The following is a 22,477-nucleotide window of genomic DNA, read 5'->3' as shown; positions in this document are numbered from 1 at the left end:
CACTGAGGCTCCAGCCCAGAGGCGGGTTATGGGCCCCTGCAGTCTTGATAACAGCGGGGAGCCTGCCACCGCCTTGGCACTCTTTAAAGCACCTGTTGGTGTGGCGACCCCGCTTTCTAAAGCAAGCTGCAGGGGAGACCGTACCGCGAGCCGCTCACAAGGAGGCGCTGCAGGACCATGCAAGGCCCAGCAGTGTGGGAGGGGCCAGGTCGGCCTGCGGTGCCAGGGAAGGGGCGGGCACTCGCCAGAGCCACGCCCACTCGCCTCGGCTCCTCCTGGCAGCGCCTGGGACCCAGTACAGAACTGAGGGCAGCGGCGCTCCCAACACTGCCCTAGCTGTCGGCATGGGTGAGCTCACTCCCTGTCACTCTCGGCAATCCTGACCCAACACGAGATGAACAGAAACCCCCCAGGCTCACCCCAGGACTCAGAATCAAATTTCCCCCGCAAATATGATTCCCATATCCCTCCTCATTTGGCAGAAATCAGGGCACTCTTGTTGGTGCTATTAGTAAGCCTGAAACTATTACAAACACACTCCCCAGTAAAAGACTAAAAATAGCGATGACCTCCAGGAAGCCTGGCATGGCCTCAGCCAGCACCTCAGCTCCCATTGTCCAAATCGGCTCTCAGGGTCAGAGCAGCCAACAGCTGCGGTCCAGGGGATATACGGATGAGGGTGGCCCAGAACAGGCAATGACCGTGTGGCCAGGGAGGGTTCCTGAATACTTGGCTGCCCAGGCCAGAAACACAGGGCTCTTCCAAGTCAAGGATCACTTGAGCCCGGGAGTTTGAGACAAACCTGGGCAACATAGTGAGACCTGGTCTCTACACAAAAATTTAAAAAATAGCTGGGCTTGGTGGTGGCACGTGCCTGTAGTCCTAGCTACTCAACAGGCTGATGTTGGAGCATCACTTTGAGCCCAGGAGGTTGAGGCTGCAGTGAGTGGTGATCTCATCCACGGTACCCCAGCCTGGTGACAGAACGACATCCTACCTCCAAAAAAAATTTTTTTAAACTGAGTAGACAGGTGTCCTGGTGGCATGACAGGTCCTGGGTCCCCTTCCAGATCTGTGACCTTGGACAGGTGGCTTTTCCTCTGGACTTCAGTGTCCCCATCTGAGTGAGAAAAGGCAGTGGGGACGCAGATCTTCAAGTTGAAGCAGTGTAGAAGCCGCATCTGAAAAGCCATACTTGGGGCTCCAAGTCCAGCACACAGTCCTAGCAGGGCCCAGCGGGGTGGCCAGGGTGGCACAGGTATCAGGTCCCAACCTCCTTCCCTCTTTGCCCACTCTCAGACCAAGGAATTCATCTTCTCAGAGCTGCTGTCCAACCTGTACTCGCATGGGGACCAGAACACGCTGATGGAGGAGTTGGCAGAGAAGGCACAGTGGGGCGGCGAGATGCTGCGCAAGCGCCACGTGCTGACGGAGGCACCCAGCAACATCGGTGAACATCAACACGACCACTGTCAGCACGCCCACGGGGGCCCGTGGATGACTCCTGGCTGCAGGTGCAGAGCATCCCAGCTGGACGCAGGTACCAGGGCCAGCCCCCACGGTCCCAAAGTCCCCCAGGCTCCATGGCTGAGCCTGGGGGCTCTTGAAACAGGCTCCGTGCCCAAGCTGGCAGATGTGGGTAATCATGCCTGTAATCCTAGCACTTTGGGAGGCTGAGGCAGGCAGATCACTTGAGGTCAGGAGTTGGAGACCAGCCTGGCCAACATGGCAAAACCTGTCTCTACAAAAAAAAAAAAAAAATGAATTGGGCGTGGTGGCGGGTGCCTGTAATCCCAGCTACTCAGGAGGCTGAGGCATGAGAATCGCTTGAACCTGGGAGATGGAGGCTGCAGTCAGCCGAGATTGCACCGCTGCATTTCAGTCAGCTTGAGCAACAGGGTGAGACTCCGTCTCAAAAAAAAAAAAAAGGTAAGAATGGTTCAACTTTTACTTCATCCTATCAATAGGTTAAAGAAGAGTAAAATGGACAGATTTGGAAAACCATTTTTTATTTAAAAAGAGAAAATTAGGAACAGATGAAAACTGTCTTAAGAGTATTTGAGAAACAAAACAGCAAATTTAACATCAGACAAAATATCTAAATTGAGAAATAAAGTTAAAAGGTGGATGGTGTGCCCTTTTAATGTCATACTGGAGCATTGTTTCATAGATACTTGTTTTACTATTAAAGATTGATTATTTAGAGCCGTGGTCCTCACACATTAGAGTGCATCATCATGCCCTGCAGGGCTTGTGAAACCGGCTGCTGGGCCTCACACCAGAGTTTCTAACTCAGTAGGACTGAGGTGGGGCCTAAGCATTGCATGTCTATGTTCCCAGGTGACGCTGATGCTTCCAATTTGAGACCATGCTTTGAAAAGCACTAGTGCAGGGAAATATACTACAGAATATGTTATGAATATACTGGAGAATATGTATATATGTTAGCTTACAGATTTCTGTCCAGTAGAAAAGATAACTCCCAAAGGTGACGTTTTTATTTCCCGATATGATTTTCTTTTTAAGTCAGAATCTTGCTCTGTCACCCAGGCTGGAGTGCAGTGGGATGATCTCGGCTCACTGCAGCCTCCACCTCCCAGGTTCAAGTGATTCTTCTGCCTCAGCCTCCCAAGTAGCTGGGACTACAAGCACCCAGCACCGCGCCTGGCTAATTTTTGTATTTTTAGTAGAGACGGGGTTTCACCATGTTGGCCAGGCTGGTCTTGAACTCCTGACCTCAGGTGATCCACCCACCTTGGCCTCCCAAAGTGCTGGGATTACAGGTGTGAGCCACCATGCCCAGCCTCCCTATAGGATATTAACAAGTTTTGTCTCTATCTCAGAATGCATTTCGGAATGCCCTTCCTGGAGCACTACAGACACTGTCTCTCAAAATGCTCCTTGAACTAGCTTCACCGTGTTGCTGACTCCCTTGTAAATTAAAGAAAATATCTTATACGTATTCCTTCATTATCTGTATGAAAGTCAAGCTTTTCACATTGTGAAAATTATACTTCAGGCTGGGTGCAGTGGCCCATGCCTGTAAGCCCAGCACTTCGGGAGGCTGAAGTGATGGGATTACTTGAGGCCAGGCGTTTGACACCAGCCTGGCCAACATGTCGAACCCCATGTGTACTCAAAAAAAAAAAAAAAATCAAAATTAGTTGGGTGTGGTTGCACACACCTGTAGTTCCAGCTACTTGAGAGGTGGAGGCACAAGAATTGCTTGAACCCAGGAGGCAGAGGTTACCGTGGGATGACATCGTGCCACTGCACTCCAGCCAGAGCCAGAGCGAGGCTCTCTCTTGAAGGAAAGAAAAAAGAAAATTATACTTTGATACAGTATGCTAATATAAAGGATATGATATGGTTTGGCTCTGTGTCCCCATCCAGATCTCATCTTGAATTGCAATAATCCCCACGTGTCAAGGGTGTGGGCCCAGGTGGAGATAATTGAATCATGGGGGCAGTTTCTCCCGTGCTGTTCTCGTGATAGTGAGTGAGTTCTCACGAGATCTGTTGGTTTTATTATAGGCTTTCCCCTTTGCTCGGCTCTCCTTCTCTCTCCTGCTGCCCTGGCAAGAGGAGTCTTCTGCCATAATTGTAAGTTTCCTGAGGCCTCCCCAGCCATGCAGAACTGTGAGTCAATTTAAACCTCTTTTCTTTATAAACTACCCAGTCTTGGGTATTTCTTCATAGCGGAGTGAGAATGGACTAATACAGTGTACTAATAACAGCCCAGACAGTAGTATACAGGTACTAGTATACTTTGATGCTAGAGGTATTCCCATTAAGGTCAGGAGCAGTATGCGCTATCATTACCATGATCTAACATTGTTCCAGAGGGTTTTAGGTCAGCAGTTCTCAACTGGAGGTGATTTTGCCGCCCTGGGGATATTTGACAGTATCTGAAATCACTTTGGCTGTCACACTGAGGAGTGCTGCTGGCATGTGGCAGGCGGAGGCTGGGGATGCTGCTAAACATCCTGCGAGGCGCAAACAGCTCCAGAACAGAGAACTGTCCAGCCCTAAACATCAACAGTGCTGCTGTGGAGAAAGCCTGGTCTAGACAAATAAAACATGGGAAATCCATTAACATACATGTGGGTGGATAATAAACTGGCATTTGCCAATGGCAGTCTAGCTAGGAGGTCCAAAAGGAGCACCTGAAGGACAGTTAGATTTTGCAGGGGCTGCATGGTGGCTCATGCCTGCAACCCCAGTGCATTGTGAGGTCACATTGGCAGGATCTCTTGAGGCCAGAAGTTCAAGACCAGCTTGGGCAACATAGTGAGACCACATCTCTACCAAAAATTAAAAAATCAGCCAGATGTGGGGGTGTGCTCTGAGAGTCCCAGCTGCTGAGGTGGGAGTATCACTCGAGCCCAGGAGTTGGAGGCTACGGTGAGCTGTAATCAAGCCACTGTACTCAAAAAATATTTTTTTTGAAATAGGGTTGTTTTCCATTGCATACAGGGTCTTGCTGTGTTGCCCAGGCTGGTCTCGAACTCCTGGCCTCAAGCAGTCTTCCTGCCTCAGCCTCTCAAAATGTTGAAATTACAGGCATGAGCCACTCCCCCTGGCCTTAAAAAATAAAAATAAAAAAATAAATTACATGGTGTTATGTGGCCAGTTGAAAGATGTTAGAAAACAGTTGTGCATGTGACCCAGCTGTAACCAGTTATAAAAGTATCAGGATCATTAAGAAATGTACTATATCTGGCTTTCCCAAGTTTAGGTTCCTGATGAAAGAATGAGATGGACCTTTTCTTCCTCCCCTCCTCACCTCCCTGCAAGAACCAGGATTGTGCATTTTGACGGGCAGGCTCTTACCTCTGGCAGGCCACAGGGGGCATGCAGAGCCTTTCTGCATGTGCTTTTTGGGCACTCGGATAAAGACCCCCTGTCCAGGCCTTTGTTTAGGATATTTGGCCCATGGAGAAATGAGGCTGGAATCACCTGGGAGGGATAGAGGCTTCAACTGGAAGGAGGAGTGACCTGAACTCCAGGTTGTGGGCCTACGCTTTGTTCCCATGCAGCACCTCGTTAGTGGTGACTGAGGCCTGGAAGTCGGGGACCTTGGTGACCAAGTGTTGAGTGGACAGGAGGAGCTAAGGGAGGTGAGGGGCATCTCTCCAGTACTGACCCCTCCCCATGCCCAAATCAATGCCCTCTATCAGCTCAGACACAGCCCCACCCAGCAGCAGTGCGGGTCAGGAAGGGCAAATGCAGTCGGCACGGATCTGCTCCATAGTCTCCACCTCACTTCGTCTCGGGTTGAGGGGAGTGAGTCCCCACAGCACTGATATGATATCCTGTCAGCTGAGAACATCCAGCTTGATTTAGACAGATAAGGTGGGACATCTCTAGGGCATGGTGTGTGGAGCAGTGCCATCCCTCTGTGGCAGCGAGCCAAGCAATAAACCAGAATGTGCAAAACCTGCGTCCCAGAATCACCATTCCTGGAGGAAAAGCCTATATTGTCAAGATGCCCACAACTAAATTAACCCAAACATTCCACCCAGCCTCGAAAAACCAGTAGAACTTTGACATTAATACACTAACCCTCAGTTCTATACGGAAATGTGTAAGAATAGCCAAATAATGTAACGTGCGGTCATTGAGAGAGAGAAGCCCGTCAGAACAAATGGAACCAAGTCCAGAAACATGTTTGTCTAGGCGCAGGATGCCAGCATGTGTGTCAGCCAGGGAAGCAGACCAGGAGGAGATATTAAGATTTAAAACCCAGCTCTGTAGCTCAGGCCTATAATTTGAGCGCTTTGGGAGGCTGAGGTGGGAGAATCACTTGAGCCCAGGAGTTTGAGGCAGCAGTAAGCTATGATCGTGCCACTGCATTCCAGCCTGGATGACAGAGCAAGACCCCATCTCAAAAAAAAAAAAAAAAAGTGCTCAGATGCACCCTTACATGAAGCCACCTTTGGCACAGCTTCCAAGACTGGCCAGGCCTCACTCAGGACCATGGGTCCCAGCCATAGCTCAGTTTCCACTGCCTGAGTGGCACAGAGTCCTCAGTCCAGTCTCTGTTGGGTCTCAGATTCCCCGATCATGCCCCTTCTGTCCAACCTCTGCCCCATTATGGCCTCCACTGACCACAGCCTCTTCCACCTTCCCAAAGGGACCACTGCTCATGTTCTCCAGCCCACAGGAGTGCCTGCTTCTCCAGGCAGCCCACCCTGCTAGCTCTGGGCTCTATGTAGAAGAGCTGGGAAGGCTGGATCCCGCCACTGAGTTCAGTCTCGGGGGTCTCCACCCATGCTAGGCTTCCACTGATGGGACATAAGTGGCCTGAGGGTTGTTTACATCCACACAAGAGCCCCATGGTGACCAGGAATGGGGTTCTGAGAGGTTACATGACTTGCCCAGGGTCCCAGAGCTGGCTAGAATTCCTGCACTGCCACATTTGGGCCTCCCAGTTGGGGGTCCGGACACCCCTCTGCATCTACCAGGCTGAGAAACACGTGTCTGCTGCAGCTTCCTCCCAGTGACTTATAGCAGCTGCAAATTTTTGGGGGGCCTTCTACGGGGCCCACCACAGCAGGGAGCCAAGAACTCTTAACAGAGCCCTGTGTTCTCTCTCTGCCCCCTTCAGCTCCGAACTCATGTACTAGCTGCTCTGATGTAAAAACAGACCTTGGTGAGGATGTTGGGACTCTGGTCAGTAGCCCAGGCCTTCAGGAATCAGGTGATGTCAATCTGGAGAGGAGGTGCCTGCTGCGGGGAGCAAGCATGGGCCACGGTCCTGGCCCCCTGCAGGGGTAGCCCCTCTTCCTTCCCATGGTCCCATCTGAAGGCATCCAGGGTAGAGTGCAGTGTTCAGCTGTGTCCTGGGGTCCAGGAAAGCCAAGGAGAAGTTGCTCCACCTGCTGTCCACCAGGTACCCCAGCAGAGAACAGCCTCAGCCCACCCCAGCCCAGCACCAGATCCCAGGGACTGATCCACCTGTAAGAGGGCAGCATGAGACTGCCCCCATTGTCCCCAGAGAGTCCCCTCAGTCATGGGCTCTGACCAGGGTGCAGGTGGGCCCAGCAGGCTGGCCCAGCATGGGTGTGGCTGCCCATTGGTCCTCTGAAGAGCCTCAGGGGCTTGTGGCAGCAGGTGTATGTCTGGGCTTGGAAGCAGAGGATGTCCCGCAGCCAGAAGGCAGGGGGCACTTGTTTTGCATTCCAGTCCTCTGCAAGGACAGGGACCCCAGGCTCTGGGCACCCCAGCTCTGCCCACCCTACACCCACAGCCTACCACCATTTGGCCCAGGCAAGTTGCCCCAGCTCCCACAGAGGGAGCCACCCTTCCCACTTCCTGATGTTTGCCCACCCCAGTCAAGTTCCATTCTGGAAAAACCCTCCACATCCTTGGGAAGGCACCTCCTCCTTGACTCCTTTCCAGTGCTATCATCCCCACGTTCATTTTCTACCTATCATTGGATGCAGAGACCCGCTTCTTCCCTGGGCCAGGGCTGCTCTGGAGGCAGGGAGGTTGTGACCAGGCTGTGGGGTATAGCAGAGCACCGGGTATAGACCAGACTCCCCAGGCACACCTGGGCAGAGAAGTCAGAGACCCACAGGTGAATGCCCCTCTTTCCAGCCCCACCCACCTCACAGGCAGAAAGAGGGAGGCTTCACAAGGAGGTTGAGGTAAATAGGGAGCCCGGGTCACCTCTGTCTGATCTCCTGCCCTCCTGGGACAAAGCCAGAGGTTGGAGCTGGGAGGTGTTGAGAGCCCTGGCCCAGCCCTGGTTTCACTGATGAGGCTCAGGGAGGGGCTGGGTCAGCCTAAGTCACTGGGTCCATAAGGAAGGGCCCTTTCCATAACCCAGGACCCTAGAGCTAGCCGAGGCCACATCCCTTTCCCACGTAGACCAAGTAGGGGCATGAACTGGCTTCTGGCTTCTAAGGCCGAGGCCCAGCACACCTCTCCCTCCCCTTGCCTGCAGCTGTTGTCACACATCAAAAGTGCTTTTTTTCCCCCAAGGTGCTGGAGGCGCAGCTCCTTGGGCTGGACCAGGTGGCCAATCCAAACAAGTCCTTGTGTGTCCCCCACCAGCCAGGAATTCTCATGCCATGCAGCAGCTGGGGGCACTAGGATACCCTGGGGGATTCCAGGGATGAGCCCTCCCTGAGGCTCCTACAGCAGCACTGCCACCCCCAGACCTGCCACCAGCTCCGTTTCCATGCAGCCTTCAAGAACCTGGCCCCTCACACACACCTGCCCCACTCCTCACACCTGGCTTTCCTGTGAAACGTGGAACTGGTTCCACCTGGGCCAGCTGGAGAAGGGCCTCAGGAAATCACCATTTAGGGGGTTCGTTCCAATCATTCATTCATTTATTCACCAAATACCCACTGTCCACCTTTCTGTACCAGGCCAGAGGTGATGGGTCAAGCAGAACACATGTCCCAAGGAGCTTTCCTCTCTTTAGAGACAGGCAGGCGGACTCTCACACCATGAGGTGCCCTCTGGGCTAGGGGGTACCCAGGGCTGGATGCAGGGGCGGCCCTCGCCCACAGGAGGTGCTGGTGGGTACTGACATGGAGGCCACCAGGGGGTGAGGGTGTCCAGACAGAGGACCTAGCATGTGCCCAGGCCCAGGGTGTGACCGGGGGCAGGTGCAGGGCTGCTGTATCTGGAAGGCTTCCTGGCTCTGCCAATGATAGGCTGTGGCTGGATCAGGCTTCATGTCAATTTTTAACATTTAATAAATTTTGATTATGTAACTAAACATTGTGATAAAAATTGTGAAATATAAAAGTTAAAAACACAAAAACCAGCAAACCCCTTCTCTCCCCAAGTAACTACTTCAACAGTATTTTCAGACTTTTTTTCTCATGTATCTGCAGCTATAAACTTAAGTTGCACAAGATAGTATCCTTCCCCATATTCTGTTTTGAAGCTGGATTTTTCACTCAGCAGTGAATAGAGGCAGGCTTTAAACAGGCCACGCATTGTGAGGGCCCTGGGAAAGGAGACTGACCATGTTGCTGGGTGACCTAGGGCAAGTCTCGCCCTCCTCAGAGCCTGGATTTCCTCAGTCCGGTGAAGGGCAGGAAGGGCTGCAGTAGGACTACATCAGCGCTTCCCAAACTCAGAACCGCCACGTGGAGCTGTGTGAGCTGTCACTGCACAACCCCAGGGGCAGGAGCATTCTTGTCACGGCCTCTGTGAGTGGGGCTCCTGCCCAAAAGTGTGCTGTGCCAACCTGGGGCCCACAGGAGGATTTTAGGCGATATGCGGATGAATTGATTTTAACCATTTCCTTCTATCTGTAGTGAATGAGACCGATTCTCACCGGGAGGGCGTGTTAAACCACAGGTCACTGAACCCACGCCTCAGAGGTTCTGATTCAGGAGGTCTGGGGTGGCGCCTGAGAATCTGCATTTCTAACAAGTTCTCAGCTGATGGGGATGCTGATGCTGCTGGCTCAGGGACCACACTTTGAGAACCACTAACCACAAGTTTCTTTTTATTCATTTATTTAAGGCAGGGTTTTGCTCTGTCAGCTAGGCTGGAGTATAATGGTGCAATCACAGCCACTGCAGCCTCGACCTCCCAGGCTCAAGCAATCTTCCTGCCTCACTTCCTGAGTAGCTGAAACCATAGGAACATGCCACCATGCTGGATTTTTTTTATTTTTTGTAGAGACGGAGTTTCACCATGTTGTTCAGGCTGGTCTTGAATGCCTGGGCTCAAGCAATTCACCTGCCTTGGCCTCCTATAGCAAAAGTTTCCTTTTTAAGTACATTTATTTAGGTTTTAAAAATGAGTTAACTTAAAGCACATGAATAGATCCTCAACACTAACCACTGGGGAAATGCAAATTAAAACCATAGAGCTTTGTTACCCAGGGGGTGGTCAGTGGGCCAGCAGCATTGGCTCACCTGGGAGTTTGTTAGACATACGGACTGGCAATCTCACCCAGCCCAGCTGAAGCAAATTTGCATTTAACAAGATTTCCAGGTGATTCCTATGCTCTTTGAAGTTTGAGAAGCACTACCCGGGAGAGGAATAGAGATTATCAACTTCAAGCCTACTCTTGTCCAACAGTTGAGCAAAAGAGTCACAGCTGACCTCTCCCGCCATCCTCAGAATCATCTGTGGGGAGGGTGGGGCATAGGGTGGAAGACCTTCAAAGTCCGAAGAGTTTGACTTTTGGGGCTCAATGCTGCAGGCCATAGGGAGCCATGGAAGGCTCTCAGGTGGGTCAGACTCTCTGACCTGAGGTAAATAAATGACAGCTGAACATTAGCGAGCAAGCCCTGTCTCCATGAGCAGCACCGGTGGTCCTCTGAGCATGCCAGGCATGAGTGTGCAGGGAGCTGGTGCAAATACCTCTGTGTTTGGGTGAGCTTCTGTGTTGTGACTCTGCTCACATGTGTGCTTCAGTGTGCCAAGTGGCTGCACACCCCAGATCTGTGCTGCACGTGCCAGCCAGTGAGGGTGCTGGGTACCAGGATGTGGCGGGGAAGGAGGCGTATGCGTGTTGTGGACATGTGTGTTAGCGTGTGCATGCCGGCTGTGCATGCTGTGGGGCCTCATAGCATGTGTGTGCACACCCCGGCATGTGCGTGTGTGTGTGTCCCCCAACCCCAGGCCTGCCCCACCCATGCGTGTGACCTGTCATGTTGATCTGATGCTTTCAGAATCACTATCAGTGGTCCCTGAGGAGCATCAGCCATGGTAGGTACATGCCTCACCGCCTGCTCCATGAACGGTGTTCCTGCCCCGCTGCACCGGCTCCACACGGGGGCGCACCTGGGACCTCAGATCCAGGCTCCCTGCCCCTCCCTTCTGGAGCTGCAGATTTGCTCTTTCCTCTTTCTGTCCTCGTGCTGCTGGCTCTCTCACCTCCCTTCCCTGCAAGCCATGGGACTCAGCGCCACTGCCCAAGGCCTCCATGGCTGAGCCTGGGGGCTGTTGGAACAGTCTCCATGCCCAAGCTGGCAGACATGGGTGCTCTCTGTAGTCATCAGAGAGGGCAGAGAGCTCATGATTTATGGTGTAGGGGCTGGGAGCTTGGACGGGGTTGTGTGTGCGGCTGGACTCTGAGGCAGCTAGAGGTCTAGGAACGTCATCCTGGGCACGCTGTACCTGTCGTGCAGTCTGAGTCATGCTGCCAGGTCAGGGTATCCAGATCCCAGCCTGGGAGTGTCAAGAGTCAAACCCACTGCAGAGGAGGGGTGATAGTCAGGGTCCCACCTCCTCTATCTGTTGGCAATCCCTGGTGATCTAGGATAAAACCTTAAGAGTCCCATACACACGGTCATCCCACAACACACTTCACAGGCCAGGCAGGGACACACAGCCCCCTTCCCTCCCTGCCAGGTACCACCGCAGCTGCTAGCGTGTGACTGAAGGCAGGGTCCCTGGCCCCCACTGAAGCACTATCGCCGACCAGCAGGCTCACGCACCTTGGCCTGTTGCTCCTAGGGGTCGCCTGTGCTATTCAGCCAAGGGGACCACAGTGCCTGCTGGCCCAGCTGAGCTCCGCCTAGCGAGCCCACCTGCCTCTCCTGCCATGGACTCTCCCTCTTCTGCTTTTCCCAGCAGGAAGGACCCAGCCTCAGCTATGAAACTTGCAGCCCCCCTCACCCCGCAACCAGCTGAGGCTCCCCTCTTAGACTTATAAGTCTATGGCCAGTGGCATCCGGCTACCTGCCCTCCCTGCCTTCCCCAGGGTCCCTTCAGAGGACCCTGGACTTTCTCACCACCAGAGGGGCCTCTGGTACTCACTCCAGCCATCCATCCCTTATAGCTTCACCATTTTGGTTCAAGCAGTGTTCCTTATCAGGCCAGGTGGCTGTTGGGTGGGGCTCCCCAAGCAAGAGGTGGCCCTGGGCCAGTGGGTTGGAAGGCAGGGTGACCAGAGAAGAGAGAAGCCCAAAGCGGCTGAGCATTGGTCTGAAGTGTGGGTGCACTGCCTGGGTGCCATGGGAGAGGCCAGTGTGTGTGAGCTGGGGAGGGCTGCCGCAGCCCCCAGGCACTACCTGTGAAGCTCTGGCTTCTCCCTCCATCTTCCTCCCCTTTCCCTTCCAGCCCCTCTTTTCCAGGAACCTTTGCTACACCCGCACCTGCGCGCTCCCCTCCCCGGCCCTCCCACAGCTGCTGCGACATGCCCGTGCTCTGCGCTTGCATCACCAGCTCTCTGCTTGCTATTCTCTCTCCTATTTTCTCTCTGCTTTTCTCCAACTGCCAACTGATTGGGTTAGGCAAGTCCATCCCATCCTGAGAGCTCCAGCCCCACTCCAACCTCTAAACAGATCCTCCTCTTCTCAGAGACCTCCCTTTCCAAGCCTGCCTGGGCGGGTGTCCTGTGACTTGACAGTGGCTCCCCAGCCCCAAAGCCAGCCCCCTTCATCTGTGACTTAGTCTGTTGTAGTGGTGAGCTGACACATCCAGGTGTGACCATTGCTGAAAACTTGTGGCCCCTCTGTGGTATGCCCCTGCCTTGTTCTATAAATAGCTATAAATACTCATATATATATAAATATAAATATATATATAAATATACATATATATAAATATATATATAAATATACATATATATATATATATATACACACACACACACCTACATATGGCCGACCACCTCGCCTCTAGCACTGGGAATCAGTCACCGTGCTGTCCTTGTGGAGTCTTGTGGCCCAACAAAAGGAAGGTCTCCCCTGACACTGCCCCTCCAAAGTGTGCCACCTCCAGTGAGCCTGCCTGTCATGCCCAGCCTGTGGACAGCCAGCCCCCGCCATCCGTCCCACCCCCCCACCGTCCCACCCCCCGCCATCCCTCCCACCCCCCACCAAGCATGGGGGTGCTGTGCAGGCAGCTGTGTGGCCTGACAGTCTCTACCAGCCCTGGTGTCCCTTGGCTGAGAATCAAACCCATTTCTGGATGATGGGGAATGTGTCCTCTGCTGGCTGTGTTCTCTGTGGAGCTGAGGGGAGGGAAAAAGCCAAGCCATTTCTAGGGTGCTGTTGGGAGCGGTGAAAAGGCCACACCCTTTCCAAGGGACACTTCCTGGAAAGCCCCTGGAGCTTAGCTGGCTCTTATCCTGTGAAGCTGGCTCTGGCCACTAGGGGGCAGGACCATGAACTCAGCCTGGAGGAGCCTGCGGGGCAGCTGACACTCTAGAGGGCCAGACAGAACAGGCCACCCTGTGCAGACAGGAGAGGGAGGCAAGGGGACGGAACCGAAGACGACTGGGGTGAATGGAAGTCAGTGGCCTTGGGTGCTCGTATCTGCCTTCCCGGCCACCGCTAGATCAGGCTTCTGAGCCTGTTGGCTGTCAGGGCCGGACTGTGCCCCATAGGCGCCATAGCAATCCCCATGCAATCTACCAGGTGTCACCAGGCAGCATACAGGTAACAGGCCTGGAAGGTCCCCAACAGCCCAGCTGGACATGCTCACTCTGGGGCTCTTCATTCAGTGGCGCAAACTCCAGGACCCAGTGAGGGAAATGGGAACCCACCAGGCTGAGCAGTATGGCTAAATCCATTTATTCCAAAATGGAAAGCAAAATAAACAGGAGTCACATCACCAAGGCAGCCAGGACCCCATCCCCTCCTCCTTCCTCTGTCCTATGCTATCAATAAATAAGTTTCCCAGCCGTAAATAATGATTAGAACCTCCTCCTCATATGCCAGCTCCAGCCTCTGGTAGGTATGATACAAGGGGTGGCCCTACCCCCCGGAATATACAAAATGTTACACAGATACTATGTGTACACTGGGGAAGGGGGGCCACCCCAGCAGCCCGAGCCCTCACCTGCTCTACAGTTAGCCCCACTGTCCCGCCTCAGCTGCCTCTCTGAATAAGATGGGAGCCCCCTGAGGGAAAAGTTGCTTTGGTGAGAGTAGGGGAGGCCATCAGGCCTCCTCCAAACAAACCAACTCCGCCAGCCTCTGGCTCTTAAATAACAATCATCATCATCCAGAAATTTAAGGACTCAGCCCTGGTCAGGTGCCAAAGGGTCTGTTTATCTCCCCCCATTAGGCAGGGATCTTGTCTTGCCACCCTAATGGTAAAGGGGTGACTGGGAAGGGGTGGTTGGTCCATGGCGGGGGCGAAGTCTCCAGTCCCACTTCTCCAGGCTTGTGCCGACAGAGACCTGCTTTTATTTTTATCCCATGACTTAAAAAAAAATCCCGTAACTTCCTTTTCATAACTTTTTAAAATACTTTTCATAAAACATTTTTCTACTTTTTTTCACAACTTCTTTTGCCACAACTTTTCCACAGCATTTTTTATCCCATAACTTTTTCATCCCACAACTTTTTAAAATTCCCGTAACTTCTTTTTAGTTTGTTCCTTTAATAAACACACTTGCATAGTTACATTACAATTTCATAAAAATAAAAACTGATTATCTCATGCCAACTGTCCCCAGCATTTTCACAGTCTCAATACTCTTAATACTATAGTTTTCAAGACACATAAAATTTTAAGGCAAAAACAGCACTTTGCAACAATTTAATAATTTATTACATTACAGTAGCATCACAGTAGCAGTGAATAATCCCACTTTAGGCAGTTTCCGTATTTCCATTATACATTCTGTTTACAGGAATTCATCAATTGGTAAAAGTCATTCTAAGAAAACTTGGCAAATAAAGGTTTGGACTTGAATTGGCATCTCTTTCTCTACTTTTCCTTCCTCCAGTTTCTTTGTTTTAAACTACTGTATTCATATTTTAAAATGTTATAATCTCAGCCACCGCTTTGCCCCAAGCTTCCTGCTGCTGCAGCTGGTCCACGAGCTGGGTCTGCAGCAGTAACTGCCTGTGCAGCGCCTCCTTCTCAGAGGTCAGCTGCTGATAGGTGGCCACGTACTGCTGCAGGTGACCCAGGTACTAGTCTCACTGCTGCTGCAGACTCTGAGACTCTTGGCTCTTCATCTCCACCTGCAGGAAGACCCTGGGCATGAGGGCACATGGTGGCTGGCTTCCAGGTTCTGGGCCCATTAATAGGGTAGCTAGGGCACTGTGGGGCTCTGTCACCTGCCCAGGACCCTGCTCCCTTGCTCCAGGCCTAAGAGGCTTCCTCCCTTGCCTAGAACCCCATACCTCCTTCCCCAGCCTCAGATCTCATGTCCTTCTTCCCACCATTTAAACTGTAGGCCACAGACTGGTGGAAAAGCAGAGGGAGCCAACCACCATCTGCTAAGTGTGCTACATGCCTAATGCTTTCCAGGTATTCTCTCATTCAATCCTCAGCACCTCTGCAAGGAAAATGCTAACTTCCTTTTGAAGTTACAGAAACAGAGACTAAGAGATGAACAGTAGTTGAATGGTGACCAGTGGAACCGAGGTCGGAATCCAGTTTGAATCTAAGGAGGCTTTTTTGTTTTGTTTTGTTTTGTTTTGAGACAGTGTCACTCTGTGGCCCAGGCTGGAGTGCAGTGGTGCAATCTCAGCTCACTGCAACCTCCACCTCCCGGGCTCAAGCGATTCTCATGCCTCAGCCTCCTGAGTAGCTGGGATTACAGGCATGCGCCACCATGCCTGGCTAATTTTTTATTGTTGTTTTAATTTTCGTAGAGATGAGGTTTTGCCATGTTGGCCAGGCTGGTCTCAAACTCTTGACCTCAAGTGCTTCTCCTGCCTCAGCCTCCCAACGTGCTGGGATTACAGGTGCAAGCCAATGTGCCCCGCATAAGGAGCCTCTTGTACCACTGTCTCTTCCCCCGATTGGGGGAATCCATGCCTCTAGCTGGGGGGATGATGTCCAGACCTGGGAGGAACCCAGGGCTACCCACCTCTAAAAGTCAGAGGGCAGGAAGCAAGAAACATTCATAGGGCTGCCCTGGAGGGTGCTGGGGTCACCTGCCCCCCAGCTGGAGCTGCCTTTGGCCTGGCACCTCCCTTCCCCAGAGGCTGGTGCCCGCCTCCCAGCCCTTCTTGGATGGGGTGGAGGTTACCATCTCCTTCACCTCGCCTGGCTTCTCCTTCAGCTCCTTTACTTGCTTCTCCAACTGCAGTGTGCTCTTGTTCTCGTTGTTCTGGACAGAAACAATCAGTGGCCATCCACTGCAGCGGGAGACCCCTGAACTTGGTGTCTGCCTCCCATGTCACTGGAAAGGTGGAGGCAGGTTAGAAAAATCATCCCCTCTCCCCCACAGCCATCAGAGGAGGGCCTGATGAGCTCTGGCTCACAGGTGCCTTTAGAAGTACCATTTCATGTGAGGGCTGCACTGCCCCGTTTTACAGGTGGGGAAACAAAGGCCTGGAGGGATAGGGATGAGGGCAGGCTCCCCAGGTGGGGCAACCCACCAGATCCTCGAAGCTGCACTGTGGCTCGGCCAGCTGCTTGTCGAGCTTGTGGTTCTGGGAGAGTGTGAGCCTCTCCTCCTGCTTTCGTAGCCTCTCCTTCTCCCACAGCCTCTTCTCCTGGTCCCACAGCCTCTCCTCCTGCTTTCGTGCTGCTCCTCCTCCTTTTGCAGCCTTTCCTCCTGCTTCCATAGCCTCTGCTCCTGCTTTTGCAGCCTCTCACCCTCCTCCCCCAGCCTCTTCTGCTGCTCCTGAATCCTCCCATTTTGCTCACACAGTCTCTCCTGCTCCTGCACCCTCCGCTCCTCCTGCTCTCAGAGCCTCTCATTTTGTTCCTTGCTCAGGAGACTCAAGGCCTGGTTGTTTTCCACCTGGGATTGGAGCTTTCCCTCCAGTCCCTCCACTTCCTTCCTCAGCTGTTTGGCCTCATCTTGTAGCTGCTCCAACTCAGAGGTCCCTGCTGGGGGTGCCGGGGACTGGGGCTCAGCTGAGAAATGAAGCAGGCAATAAGAGCCTCTGGATTTCCCCCGCTACCCACCCCCCGCACAAAAAAAAACCCTCCTCTTGATGCACAGCTCCTCTCAGGCTTCCCATGGCCATGGCCTCACTGCTAATGATTCCTCGCACCCGATGGTAGCCAGTTTCCAAGCCACTTTCACATAGAGAGCACTGTGGGTGGCTGACAACGAGCACTCCTCCCTCTTTGCTTATGGGGACCCTGAGGCTATGGAGATGACAAAACTTGCCATCTGCTGGCACAGACCTCTTTCCCTCTGCCTCAAAGCCCTTCCATCCACCCACCTCCCTGGGGCATTCTAAGCCACCCCCACAGACCTCTGATGCCAGTCCTGCTCCCAGGTCACACCAGCCCCATCTTACCCATCTGGTTTTGCAGTTCAGAGAAGCTTCTCTCCAGCTCCTGTATCCGATGTATGTCACGCTTCTTCTCTTCCTTCAATGTGCGAGCCTGCCGAAAGCACAGGGGAAAGGGCCCTGGAGAGAGGGGCTGGTGGCTGGACAGGCTACCATCTGCATCTCTGCCCCCATCTCCACAAAGCCCAGACCCATGACCACCTCTGGCTGTACTATTCCCATTCTACAGATGCCCAGAAAGATCCAGTGACCTATCTAAGATGGGGGCTGAAGGGTCAGACCTCACCTCCACCGACATTTTCCACATCCTCTCCTGCTGCCGGGCCCTCTCTCCTTTTATGTGTTTAGCATATTCGTCCTGCTCTAGCTGGACTTGTTTTAGTGACTCTGTCACCTGCAAGAAATGGGCACACAAGTTAGGAAGGGCTGTCACTGGTCCTCACCTGCTCCTGGCCACCTGGGGTCATCTTCCTTCCACATCCCTCCCTCTGCAAAGCCTCACCTGTGTCACGTGTGCGTTCAGCAGTGCCTGCTCCTTTATGGTCTGCTGTAACCGCCGCTGGAGGACCGCTTCACTGCAGCTCGAGGACTGGAGGGTGAAGAGTGAGAAGTTTCGATCTGGGGAGCCCGGGCAGTGCCCCTTAAAAGGGCTAGGGCTAGGCTCAATATACAACTCGGTTAGTAAAGGTCAAGGCATTTCCAAGCCCGTGGCCTGGTTATTAAAAGAACTCAGTAAAGTTGGAAGGGAGAGGGAAAGAGATCGAATTTACAGCTGGCTAACAGAGGCCCAGAGAGATCAGATAATATTGCTATTGTTATTACTGTTATTACTACCACTGTTTGAACCGTTATGGAGTGCTTCACCAGGTTCCATGCTAGCAATCCCATTTAATCCTCACAACCACCATATGACACAGTTACTAGGATTACCTCTATTGTGTAGATGAAAAACATGGAGTATTTGAAGTTAAGTGCTTGCCTAAGATCACTTAGACAGAGCTGAGATTTGAACACCCGAGTCTATCTGATTCTCTAAGCCCATTTTTCTTGCTGGGGGTGGGAGCACAGATAGGAAGGGGAAAATTAATCTTTTGTTCACTTTTTGAAAGGATGATACATTCATATAGTCCAAAACTCAGAAGGTACAGAAGGGAGGTGTCTCCCAGGCACCCTGTTACTCTCTCCTGAGTTTTTTAGGAATGCTTGCAGACATATTTTATGTATCTTATAATAGTACACACACACACCTTTCCTCTCTCTACAGAAATGGTAACATACAAAAGGTACTCTTCTGTTCACAGTACAAGTACCAAATACCCCACCTAGGACTTGGCCAAGGCCACAACCAGGTAAGGGCAGGGCAGAAACTTGGCCTCTGAGCTCTGCATCCAGTGCTTACTCCCAACAGTGCCCCCCAAATTAGCCACAGCAGCTGACTCAGCCCCAGGCTGCCTCTAACAACCATACACAAAAGCAGCGAGAAATGACCATGCTGCCTTCTGGGCAGGACACTCCATCCTGGAGAAGGAACCTTTAGGCTCACTCCTCCATCTGGGAAGCCAGGCTGCCAGGGGATGGGGCAGCTGGTCGGACTCACCCTGTCCTCTTCCTGCTGCTGTGTAGACACAGCACAGAGAGCCCGCTCCGATTCTTGAATATGCTGTAAGGAGTATTGCAGGCAGCCAGCCAGATCCTTGGACTCTTCTGTAATGAGAGAGGTTGAGATGGGGGCCAAAAGACTCCCCCTAAAGACCTGTCAAAGTGCCAGGTTGAAGGATGACGGGATGCCCAGATTCCCACCTTCGAAGTGTCGGGCAGCACGTTTAGTATGGTAAAGGGTGGTCTTCAAGTCTGCCTTTTCCAACGTGAGGATGTTGATTGTCTGGAATTGAATGTTTGGGAGAAAAGCCAAGCAAGTGCTGAAAGAGAAGGAAAGAAACATTCTCCGGAGGACAGGAGAAAACTCCCCACCCACCACTCACCTCTAACTGCTCCGTTTGTGCTTTGTGTATTTCCTTATTTGCTTTCTTTTCCTATAGGAAGAGGAAGACAGGGCTCTTACCACAGGGAGGCAGACATGGCATAGCAAGAGACATGCCCCCAGAATGCCACCAATGCCCCAGGACAGGCCCACCCATGGGACCAGGTTATCAGGGACCCTGTGGGGATGGGGTGGAATCTGAGGGGTGAGCCTTCTTCCCCAGGCTGGGAGTGGGTGAGACGAGATTGGCGCCTCTACATCTGAGTGCCCCCCAAACCCAGCAGTCATGTTGTGAGCAAAGAAATCACGTTACTTCTTCCAGCTGATGTTCCACTTGTTTCTTCTGCTGTTTCTGTGGGGAGAGTCAAATTCAGGTGACTGAGGGTGGCCCCCTCAACTCCATTCCCCAGACCAGGAAGTGGTAAGCAGTGGTCAGGAATGGATTTTAAAGGCAATGTTCTCAGAACCAATGGCAAGAACTGGTCAACTCTCCTCAAGCTCCCAAAGACAGAGGATTTGGGTCTTTGTTGGTTTTTGCCCACAGCCACAGAACTCAAAGTCTGAATCTGGATTCTCTCAAAAGGACAGTAACATAAACTTCTAGAGACGGAGACTCAGAAAGGCCCACCCTTCTGCCTGCTTGTGATTTAGAAAGGTGCCTTCATTCCACAAACAGTTACTGAGCACATACAGGACAGTTATGGTTCTTCACAGCAGATATAGGATGGAAAAGGACAGACAGGAGCCCTTGGCCCTCAGGTTTCCATTCTAGGGGCCTTTAAATCTCAGACTTTCAGAGCTAACAGAGAGATGCTCTACCTCCTCCAGAAACATGAGCCCAAGGAGGACAGGTGGCTTTTCCAGACTCAAAGCAAATTAGGGACTGAGTCAGGGCAGAAATACGGGGCCCCTGACAACCAGTCAGGCTAGTGCTTCCCTGAGAGGTGACAACCCCAGGGCATGTGTGGCAAGGATTGGAGTGGGGTGTCTGGAGAAGAGAGTCGGCAAAGAGGGCAGTGACAGAAGAGCCATGCTGTGTGCTCCTTGCTCTGGGGTCCCTCCAGGTGAGGCCTGGGTGCTCCAGCTCCCCATTTGTCCTTGGCACCAGGGGCCCCCAGCTCCTTTCTTCAGGGCCCCAAGGGGAACTAAAGGCCAGGATTGGCAGCGTGGAATCACGGGACCCCACTGGACTCTTACCAATGATTCTATGTTTTCATTTAGTTGATTGATTATTGCGGAGCTTGAGTTCAGGGCTACTTCCAGTTCTTGGTACCGACTCTGAGGCGCATGCAGAGAGGAGGAGTTGGAGGAGGATTGTGGGGAGAGGTGGAGAGAACAATCATTAGGGCTGGGGTGTGTGTGGGCTGTCGGGCTGTTTCAGCTGGCAGAGGGGCACCCAGCCCCTGCTGTGAAAGGAGGTTGGAGGGCTGGCCTGCAGGGTCACTGCACCTTGGCCCAGGGCCTCTTACCTCCAGATCCTTCAGGGTAACAGATGATGCAGGAGTTATAAAAATGAGAAATTCAAAAAAAGATTACATAGGAAACAGTTATGGATATAGAGAAAGTATAAAAACAGCAAGGGCCGGGCATGGTGGCTCATGCTTGTAATCCCAGCACTTTAGGAGGCTGAGGTGGGTGGATCACTTGAGGTCAGGAGTTCAACACCAGGCTGGCCGACGTGGTAAAACCCCGTCTCTTCTAAAAATACAAAGATTAGCTGGGCATGGTGGCAGGTGCCTGTAATCCCAGCTACTCAGGAGGCTAAGGCAAGAGAATCACTTGAACCTGGGAGGCAGAGGTTGTAGTGAGCCGAGATCACACCACTGCACTTCAGTCTGGGTGACAGAGTGAGACTCTGTCTCAAAAAAAAAAAAAAAAAAAAAAAAAAGCCCCAAATCCCACATGCCTGCACTGTCTGTTATTCCCAAATTACTTTTAAACTTTAAGGTCTCAACATTTCCAAGATGATAAAAGATGCGGGGAAGGAAAAAACCCAATCAATCAAGCAGGTGAAGAAGCAGACAGAAACAGGCTGAAGGTTAATGGCAGCAACATAAAACAAGGCAGAGGCCAAGTATCCCCCAAACCAGAGAAGCCTCAGGGCCATGCACAGCTGGAGACAGCAGCCAGAGAGGGGTCTTGGCACTGCCTCACCTTCCACTTGTCCAATGGGGGAGCACTACCCCATTGGAGTGGTTAAGGTTGGACACCCGCACCTTCAGAATGTCCTGAATCTACAGGAGGTGACAAGGGAAAAACAAGGGCAGGGGGCGAAAGACAGAAGTGGCTTAGAGAGAAGCAAGAAAGTCAGGGTAGGAGGAAGATGTGGGTTCAGAAAAACAAAACGCTGAAGAAGAGCAGAGGAGATTAAAACCATGGCCTGTGCCATTCTTCCAAATGGCCACCTGCTGCCTTGCCAGGGGCAGGAACAAATAGATGGAAAAGTCCCCTGAGCGATGCAGTCACAGAGTGGAGTCAGCTGACCAATGCAGCTCTTAATATGCTCACTGGTCCCCTCTCCTCAGGCCCAGGACATGGGTGATGAATCTCGTAGAGCTCCAGACCTCCACCTCCATTAAAAAAAACAGACTCCTGAGTAAGGGTTCACTTGAACTAAGGGGACTCCAGCTAAAAAACAAGTTTGAAAGACACTGATCTTATCCAGTATCATCTTACAGAGGAGGAAACTGAGGTCCAAAGGAAGAAGTGATTTTTCTGTGGTCATCCAGCAAGCTGGTGGCAAGTTAGATCTTCTCTTACTCCTGGTGTCTGGGGCTCTCCTCACCACACCCTGGGCCCCCTTCAGTGACTCCTATAGGGACAGCCTGATGGCAAGTGGCTGTACTCATTGGCCCAGCTTCCCCTTGAGACTGGGCATCAGGAAAATCAAACAGCAATGACCATTTCCTGGGTATCCTGGGTGTTTACAGCAGGCCACATACTAGGGGTTAACATAAAAACAACCATAAGGAATCTCATTTAAACTTCACAAATGGAAGTCAAACAATATTCCCCCTATTTTACAGAAGTGAAAAGAGAGGCCCAAAGAGCTCAAGCAACTTGCCATAAATCAGATCTCTAGAAGATGGAGAGGCAGGATTCAAACCCAGAATTCTTAACCAGTACCCAGCAATCTCAACAATTACCCTCCACTGCCCCTTGGGCCCCCCGTCTCCAGGAGCCAGGCCAGCCAAGACTCACATCCCCAGGTGAGTGGCAGCCACCAGAAGTGGTTGTCTCAGGGCTACTGCCAGTTTTTTTCTTTTTTGTCTTTGCTCCTGCTGGAACACCAGGGCTGTTCCTCTGCTGATATTCTTTTAGCTGTGGGAAAGAAGAGCAGTAATACTTG

At 52.2% G+C, this 22,477-nt stretch overlaps 2 pseudogenes, besides 3 other annotated features; one reads left to right on the top strand and one right to left on the bottom strand.

The window, feature by feature from the left end:
* Positions 9,983-10,962: an enhancer, noted in NCBI's record as "H3K4me1 hESC enhancer chr15:79032781-79033760 (GRCh37/hg19 assembly coordinates)". NCBI's record gives its function as "activates a minimal SCP1, AML or CMV promoter by ChIP-STARR-seq in naive and primed H9 embryonic stem cells {active_cell/tissue: H9 hESC(naive and primed)}" and the evidence as "EXISTENCE:reporter gene assay evidence [ECO:0000049][PMID:30033119]".
* On the top strand, positions 10,653-12,911 carry DNM1P37 (dynamin 1 pseudogene 37; annotated as a pseudogene).
* Positions 10,963-11,942: an enhancer, noted in NCBI's record as "H3K4me1 hESC enhancer chr15:79031801-79032780 (GRCh37/hg19 assembly coordinates)". NCBI's record gives its function as "activates a minimal SCP1, AML or CMV promoter by ChIP-STARR-seq in primed H9 embryonic stem cells {active_cell/tissue: H9 hESC(primed)}" and the evidence as "EXISTENCE:reporter gene assay evidence [ECO:0000049][PMID:30033119]".
* Positions 15,839-16,340: an enhancer, noted in NCBI's record as "H3K4me1 hESC enhancer chr15:79027403-79027904 (GRCh37/hg19 assembly coordinates)". NCBI's record gives its function as "activates a minimal SCP1, AML or CMV promoter by ChIP-STARR-seq in naive H9 embryonic stem cells {active_cell/tissue: H9 hESC(naive)}" and the evidence as "EXISTENCE:reporter gene assay evidence [ECO:0000049][PMID:30033119]".
* On the bottom strand, positions 16,278-22,451 carry LOC646934 (golgin A6 family member D pseudogene; annotated as a pseudogene).

This window comes from Homo sapiens, chromosome 15 (genome assembly GCF_000001405.40).
Source record: "Homo sapiens chromosome 15, GRCh38.p14 Primary Assembly".
Lineage (NCBI taxonomy): Eukaryota > Metazoa > Chordata > Mammalia > Primates > Hominidae > Homo > Homo sapiens.
This window is presented reverse-complemented; position numbering and strand designations above follow the sequence as displayed.